Source organism: Homo sapiens, chromosome 1 (genome assembly GCF_000001405.40).
Source record: "Homo sapiens chromosome 1, GRCh38.p14 Primary Assembly".
Taxonomy (NCBI): domain Eukaryota; kingdom Metazoa; phylum Chordata; class Mammalia; order Primates; family Hominidae; genus Homo; species Homo sapiens.
In genome coordinates, this window is record NC_000001.11 from 232,163,893 (window position 1) to 232,172,915 (window position 9,023).

The window sequence follows — 9,023 nt, forward strand, 5'->3', positions numbered from 1 at the left end:
TAATTCTGGGGCCTGTATTAATATTTTTACTTAGTGAACTATATTTAATTCTTTGTACATAAACTCCCATTTCAAAATAAACTGCCTTTTTAAAAATAAATTGCCCTTTTAATAAAAATAAACATGGTTGTTACATGCAATGTAGAAAATCTAGATAAGCAAAAAAGATAAAGTAGAAGTCATCCACAATCTTATTGACCAATCGTAGTCATTATAATATTTTGGTATAAACTCTGAAGTCTCTCTTCTCTGTATGTATTTGGGAAATAGAATTATATAGTACATATTACTTTACGACTTATCTTTTTCAGTTAGGTCATTCATTCAACAATTATTTATTGAGCAGTTACTATGTGTCAGCTTTTCTAGGCAGGAAGAACAGCAAATAAATGGCCCTGAGGCAGACATTTATACTGTGACTCTCTCTCCATGTAGTTATGCATTTAGAAGCTTTTCCTGTTTTATCCCTTTAGTGTCAACATTTTATTCTGCTGTATAGATACAGCATAATTTATTTAACTAATTTCTTATTTGGGGACATCCAAGTTGTTTCCAGTTTTTCTTGTCTCAAACAATATGGCAATGAGATTCTTATTTACAAATCTTTGGTCACACCACTCTTTCACTACTGTTTACTTAGTGACTAGCGGAATGTCTGTCAGCGCTCCCTCAATGTTTGTTGAGTAAGTAAATAACTCTATAATTATTACTTTAAGATAATACTAGAAGTGGAACTGCTAATTCAAATAAAAGCTAATGCTTAATATAGTACCTTGAAGTCTAGCCCTGTTCCAAAAGCTTTACAAATATCAATTCACTTAATCTTCATGATAACTTTTTGAAATATGTGCTATTAGAATACCTATTGTATAAGTGAGGAAACAGGCACAAAGTAGATTGAGTAACTTGGTCAAGGTCACACAGCTAATATGTGGTAGGATGAGCTTTGGAGCTTGTGTTCTCAACCACTGCTCAGTGAATCAAATAATGTATCAGTGGTAAGTCTTGTGGTGTCATGAACTGGATGTGTTTCTCCCAAATTCCTATGTTGAAGCCCTTTCTAGAATGTGACTGAATTTAGAGATAGGGCCTGTGAGGAAGTGGTAAAGTTTAAGTGAGGTCAGAAGGGTGAGGTCCTACTCCAATAGGGCTTGTGCCCTTATACGAAGAGGAACAGACACCAGAGTTCTCTCTTCAATAAGCGAGGATGCAGGAAAAAGGTTGCCATCTGCAAGCCAGGAGGGTGCCCTCACTAGAACCCAAGCATGCTGGCATCCTGATCTCAGACTTCACAGCCTCCAAACTGTGAGAAAATAAATCTCTATTGTTGAAGTCTGTGGTATTTTGTTCTGGCAGCCTGAGTAGACTAATAAAACTAGTGTATTTCCAGATTCTCCTCATCAGGAATGTCATGTGTCACAACACTAATGGGAAATAATGTTTTCGCCTAAAAGTAGATCTACCATTCTATCTAGCAATCCCACTAGTGGGTATTTACCCCAAGGAAAAAAATTATTATATCAAAAAGACTCTTGCACCCATGTGTTTATTGCAGCACAATTCATAATTGCAAAGATATGGAACCAACCTATGTGCATATCAATTGATTAGTGGATTAAAAAGATGTGTGTGTGTGTGTGTGTGTGTGTGTGTGAATATATATATATATCTATATATATATATACCATAAAATACTACGCAGCCATGAAAAAGAACAAAATAATGTCTTTTGCAGCAACTTGAATGGAATTAGAGGACATTATTCTAGGTAAAGTAACTCAGGAATGGAAAAGCAAATACCACATGTTCTCACTTATAAGTAGGAGCTAAGCTATGGGTACACAAAGGCAGACAGAGTGGTATAATGGACATTGGAGACTCAGAGTGGGGAGGGTGGGAGAGGAGAGAGGCATGAAAAACTACCTGTTGGGGTACAATGTGCACTACTTGGGTCACAGGTATACTAAAATCCCAAACTTTACAACTATATAATTCATCCATGTAACCAAAAAACACATGCACCCCTAAGGCTATTGAAATAAAAACATTTAAAAGATTAAAAAATGTATATACATTGAAAAAAATTATATTTTCACTCACATAAGGTTTAATTGGCAGTAGAGAGGGCTCTGTTCCAGGTAGTCATTCAGGGACCCAGGCTTCTTTCACCTGCAGTTCTTCATCTCCAGGGCCCATCCAGAATCCTTCTTTGCATGTATTAATAGTTGCCACTTAGGAGGAAGAGAGTGAGGATGCCAGGTTAGGGCTAAAAGTTGTATGCGTCTTTTCAACCTCATCCCCCTGCCTGAACTCCAGCATGTGGTCATGCCTATTGCCAGTAGAGACTGGGACATACAGATAAGCCGTGAACCCGTAAGATCTTGGAAAGAACTTAGTAGCCTAGGCCATGGTCCACTCTTCTGATCACTGTTATTCACTTTCCTTTTCCACTTGGAAAAAATTTAACCTCCCCATGGGCAACGACAAAAAAGACCCCCACCCAATCACGGAAGTTCATGATCTCTGGATAATCAGCACTCCTCTCTGTCAGGCCCCTATGCTGCTTCTCATCATCCAACAGCCTACGAATTTAAAACACAGGTTATCTGCCTCCACCCTTCCCAATATACAATTGTGGGTCAGACATAAAATAACAATAACATTCCCATTCAGAAGAGGGAAGAATGGGAAACCGGGCAGCTACTTGTTCATAGCGATTTTGAAATTGTGCTAGATGGTCTTCCTAACCTGGGAGCAAGAAAAATTCCTTGATTAGAGCAGATTCTGTTCAATGGAAGGAATTCCTGTGTCTATTTTTCTTCATGGCAACATCTGAAATAGGTAATGATGAGTTTGTGTTACGTGGGGTTGTTTTAAAATAGAGTGCATTAATGTTTTAAAAAATAAAGTATAGTAAGGCCAACATATCACAAAATGGTTACCATTGAAAAAACAGTGTGTTATTCAGTTCCTGAGAGGCGGCGGGGGGGTACCATGCAGGGTGGGGGATGGAGATATATGGAAACAACAGGGTCAGTCAGGAGACAGAGGGAGGTGGGGAACTGTGGGGAAGAGCTTTTATTTTGATTTCCGCAGGAAGAAACTGGCAAGGTAAGGTAAGCAGGCTTAGGATTGGCTAGTTTGAATGATTTCAGTGGACTCTGGTGCATAAGGGCCGGCCTTACTTGTCTGGCATCTGGCCAAGGCACGAGGATAGTGCCCTAGAGTGTGAGAACCCTGTAGGGGAAGTGGTTGGGAGTATGAGCTCTGGATTGATTGCTTTGCATATGAAAGGTACACTCAGTCTCTCTCTCTCTCTCTCTCTCTCTCTCTGAATTGGTTAACCTGGGAGGGGCGGTCCCTCCAGAGTCAGCAAAGCCCAAAGTTGTTAAAGCATCAAAATACAGAAAATAATAAAACATTATTAAGGCCAGGCATGGTGGCTCATGCCTGTAATACCAGCACTTTGGGAGGCCAAGGTGGGTAGATCACCTGAGGTCAGGAGTTCAAGACCAGCCTGGCCAACATGGCGAAACCCCGTCTCTACTAAAAATACAAAAATTAGCTGGGTGTGGTCGCAGGTGCCTGTAATCCCAGCTACTTCAGAGGCTGACGCAGGAGAATTACTTGAACCCGGGAGGTGGAGGTTGCAGTGATCGTGCCATTGCATTCCAGTCTAGGGGACAAGAGTGAGGCTTTGTCTCAAAAAAAATCCACAAAAACAAAAAAAAAACCAAACGTGATTAATACAGGGAACTCCCCAACTTTTTTTTTTTTTTTTTTTTTTGAGATGGAGTCTTGCTCTGTCACCCAGGCTGGAATGCAGTGGTGAGATCTCGGCTCACTGCAACCTCAGCCTCCCGGATTCAAGTGATTCTCCTGCCTCAGCCTCCCGAATAGCTGGAAATACAGGTGCGCACCAACCACACCCAGCTAATTTTTGTATATTTTTAGTAGAGACGGGGTTTCACCATGTTGGCCAGGATGGTCTCTGTCTCCTGACCTGTGATCTGCCTGCCTCAGCCTCCCAAAGTCCTGGGATTACAGGCGTGAGCCACTGTGCCCGGCCAGGAACTCCCTAACTCTTATAATCTACTTGCTGCTCACACAAATTTGGAGACACAAGTATTGTTTTAATCTCAACAGATGAAAGGCCTCTATGGTCTTTTTGTTTCCAAGGCAGAATAGTTCCCTTGAATATTTAATAGCTTCTGATGGTCTTCTTCCAGCTGGTCCCACACGTGGCAGCCTCACGGAGGGGCTCCCTGAGGCAGGACCCTCATGCCTGCCTTTTCCCTGTGCATCCTCACCACAGCTTCCCTCTTGCAAGTTGATGGTGACTGTCTATGAGCAACTTTAAAAAAAAAAAAAAAAAAAAGGCCTTTGACACGAGCCAAATCACTTTGTTTAACTGAGAAGGTTGACTAGACCTTTCCAGTCTTAACAATTGTTATTTGGGGTCCTGAAGTCCTCAATTTTTCCACCTTTGAGGTCTTTTATTTGTGGACTTTCTCATTTTTTCTATCTCCTCTAAAAAGAAAAAACAGTCAGTTGTTGTCAGAGGTCATCTCTCTTGTGTGATCTGAGAGACCACAGTGAATACCACCTTATCAACTAAGATGGATGCCATGGTTTAGAAGACAAAAGTTACCTGCAGGTCAAGGGTTCAGGGCCCGGCTGGTATGGCGTATTTCTAAATTTCTATGACTACAAGAAAAACCACACTCTCAATACATTCCCTAACAACAGGAGTTATCAGATCCCTCCTAACCCAGCTTTACAACCCAGGCCACTACAACTCTTGGCAGGGGACTGGCCTTACAAACACTCTTTTCTGATAAGCACCTGCAGACTTCATGCCTGTTTCAGCAGCTTATAGAGGCTGCACAGTCTTTGTGTCCTACAGTTCAACTCTTGATGTAAAGGAGCCAAATTCCACTTCATTTTAATGCTAAAACCCTGCCCCAAAGTGAACATGGGATGTATATTACATTTATGTTTACCTATTGTGCATCAGCTTGGCTCCGCTCATAAATATATATAGCTTTTCCCCCAAACCTGCTGAATATGTATGACGGTATTGTGTAATACAGACCCTGTGAGGCATAAAAACCAACCTGCCCCTCCCCTCCTAAAAGAGAGAGCACCTCCAGTTCATACCAGAGATTCTGTCTTCCCAGCTTGTGAACTGATATGGCCGATAAAGCTCCTCTTTCTACTATTAAGCCATCCTGGTGGTCTTTTGGATGACATTTGTATTACCTTATTAAAGGCATCTGTAGATTTAGTTGATCACTTTAGCTCCTACCACCACTTTTCCTGGAGCTATGGGCTTAGGAGGCCTTGAGGGGGTCTCCCTTCTAAGACATTCAAGGTAACAGGTTTGCCACTTATTTGCCATGACTTAACAGGGCTTTCTAGCCATCCAGCCTGCTCGATCTATTTCCCCACACACCTGTCACCCAACCACTAAGCTACTGTCACATATTTAAGTGTTTTTTATGGCAGCACCTCACTTTAAGCCATCAATTTTTGAAAACCTCTGACGGCAGTGCTCGCAGCTGACATAACAGATAAACCTCCACTTTCAGTGGTTTAACACAAAAGAATTTTATTTCTTGTTCATGAAGAACAAATTGGTAATAGAGTGGTGAGGGGGGCTTGCTCTATTCAAACTTTTTCTATCATGGCTTCGTAGGGCCTTGCGGTCCTCTTCTGGGTCCTCTGCCACTGATCAACCAACAGAGAAGGAGGCGCAGAGGGTCCCATGCCTGGCATGTATGGGCAGGCCTAGAGTGGTGGGCTTCACTTCTACTCACATCCCTTTGGCCAAAACTCAGTTGCCTGGCCACATCTCTCTTAAAGCAAACCTGTGAAATGTAGTAGCTGAAAGCCCATTGAGGGACCCAGCAGCCCTGAGTCCCAAAGAGCAATGCATGCAGAGTGGATTCATTCTTCCCTCAAATCTTCACCAACATCAAGTACCATTTAAAATAAAATCTTTGATGCGTTAAAGTGGTATTTCATATGTTTCTATTTGCATTTTCTTTGATTTCTTTATGAGCTTCAACATGTTTTCATCCATTTACTGGTCAGTTTTATGTCTTCATTTATGAGTTACTTGTTTCTGTTTTGTATTCCTTTTTCCACTACGGAATTCTTATTTTATTAATCTATTTATAGGCAGGTTTTGTATATTAAAGATATTAAACTTTGCCTCTAGGAATAAGATTTTCTTTCAGTTCGCTATTTTTTTTTTTCACAGAAACATTTAATTCTCTTGGAATTTATATTGGTACGTGATATAAAGTAGGGAATCTAATTTTTCCCCAAATGCTTAGGCTTTCTCTCCCAAATCTTAGCATCATTTATTGAAAAATTCATTTTGCCCTCAAAAGACTAATTGCTAAATATATGGCTTTCATCACCGAGGACCAAGTGATACAAGCAAACTGATGCAGTCAGCTACCCATGCTGAAATTCTGCCTGAAAACATTCCCTGAAAGCCCTGGTTGACACTGTCATTTTAGATTTCAAAAAATAAGATATTACTGGACAGCACCTGCAATTCTGTTGAGAAGTGATGTCCATGCCCAGATAACCAACCTGGAGCTGCTTAAAGGGGGAGCCCCAGGATACACCCATCATCCACAATCTCTGCTGTGATCCATACTCCAGGCATCATTTCTCAAGCTTGACGCCATCTGCTATGAGTCTCTCAGCTACTGACCAATAGCCCATTTGCTCTTGTACTGCCAGTTTTGGTTTGTTGCTTACTGTTGACTTTCTCATCAAAACCTTCGCTCCCCTTGGTAAGAATTGTATTTTCCCCCCGATTTGTGAATCTTGTTGATTTAGCTTGTCCCCAAGATGTTCCCACTTTGGCCAGATGGCTCTCTTACTCAGTTCTTCCTTCTCCCCTAAAAGGAAGTCGATGACATTTTTTCCACTACTTTCTTCATTTACCCTACTATCAGAACTTCTATGTCATAGGAACAGAGAATGTTAGAGCTTTAAGAGATCTTGGAGACTATAAATTCCTGCCCCTCATTTAGCAGATGGGGAAACTAAGATGACTTAGTTCAGAGCTACAGATGTAATTATTGGTAGAGCCACAATTCATACCTAGACTCTTACCTCTTAGTTCAGCGTTCTTTCTGAATCCCTATCATAATCCATATCCTGAATTGTCTCTTTGGTACAGGAACCTAGCTGAACCAGCAGGAGATGCTGTGTAAACATCTGAGTGCCACTCTTATGACCAAATACTCCTACTTAATGAGAATTGCTCATATAAAGAAGGCAATATGCATTAGAATATAATCAATACATGTATCTAAAAAGGGAAACTACAGTGGCAATACTAGGATTCTCCTCCATGATTACATTATAGATCTTTTAGATCAAGGAGAGACAGTTGGGAAGAAAGGATCAAAATTCAATGCTTATGAAATATAAATGAGATGATTTATAAATTCATTACATGCCATACATGTTGAATATCATTAACATTTTACTTTATCATACAAATAAATGCACCAGCTCAACAATTTATGAACAGAAATCCAATTAGCTTTTCTACCCTCTTACTCGGAACATTATATTAGAAGCCCTTGGGGAATCTTCGTAGATGTGCAAATGAGAAGGTGAAAATTTTTCTTTCTGCTCTGAGGAGCATGTAATCCCAGGCATGTTTCCAGTGGTGGTTTAAGAGAGTCAGCTGGAGGGGGCCATTGGTAAGTGTCATCTGGTGTCACTGCAGACAGCGGTGCAGAGCAAGCTGACATCATAGTACATGCATGTGAGTCCAGGGAGCTACATGTCTCTTTGCTTGAGTGTGTCTCTGACACTCCCATTTTTGGTGTAATGTCGAGCTTCTTTGCTTATAAATATTGTGAATAGGCTGGGCACAGTGGTTCACGCCTGTAATCCAAGCACTTTGGGAGGCCGAAGCTGGCGGATCACAAGGTCAGCAGTTCGAGACCAGCCTGGCCAATGGGGTGAAACCCCGTCTCTACCAAAAATAAAAAAATTAGCCTGGCATGGTGGCGGGCACCTGTAGTCCCAGCTAGTTGGGAGGCTGAGGCAGGAGAATCACTTGAACCCTGGAGGCGGAGGTTGCAGTGAGCCGAGATCATGCCAGTGCACTCCAGCCTGGGTGACAGAGTGAGACTCTGTCTCAGAAAAAAAAAAAAAAAAATTGTGAATATATTTTCTGAATCGTGGTCAGGGTATATTATACAAAAGCTTCCTTGGTTTCATACCATTGGCCACTATTAAGATGTAGGGTTTTAGAAGTCGTGATGACCAGCATGGAGGGCATATGTAAGTAGGTGAGAAAGAGTCAGAAGACATTCGCGACAATGGCCAACATCGTTGAGGGTGGTTTTTCATAGAAGCCCACAAGAAATAACATGCAGGGGAAGTAATTTAACTTAGTAGGAAGAAAATATCTCTCAAGGGCCCAGAGACTAGGTCCAGAGAAAAGCTGAAGAGTGTTGCCAGGATATTAGCATTAAGTCAAAAGAGAAACAAAAAAGGAACTATCTAAGAATGGAACCAGCGATTTCTCTCTTTTCCTCTGCTGACTTCGTGATTGTCACATAGTATTTTCTCTAAATTAAACATCTGAGTTCTATGTTAAAAGCGTTCCTAAAACACTTTCTTATATGGTAGTTATAGCCGGTCCAGAAATTACAGATGTAATTTTCTCACATTTTTAAGACTAGAAGTTCTTGGACTTGCTCATAAAGACAGCATCAGAATATAGTAACGATCAATGACCTACAGATACAGTCAGCCCAGATAATAAATAACCAGGCTAAAAGAGTCTGAAAGCTGCTGCTCAGGAAGCTGGGCAGGAAATTGCAGTCGGAGGTTACAGTCCTCCCTTTTTTCAACCAAGCTGAACCAGCAACATTTCCACGTGAAACAGGTCTGCTCAAGTCTCCCTGGTCCCAGACAATATCAGAAGCAAAATAAGAAACACAATTTGTAGAGAAGGAAATGTAACAAAAAGATTC

General features: G+C 41.1%; 1 annotated feature.

Moving 5' to 3' along the window:
• Positions 2,978-3,553: an enhancer, noted in NCBI's record as "OCT4-NANOG hESC enhancer chr1:232302616-232303191 (GRCh37/hg19 assembly coordinates)". NCBI's record gives its function as "activates a minimal SCP1, AML or CMV promoter by ChIP-STARR-seq in primed H9 embryonic stem cells {active_cell/tissue: H9 hESC(primed)}" and the evidence as "EXISTENCE:reporter gene assay evidence [ECO:0000049][PMID:30033119]".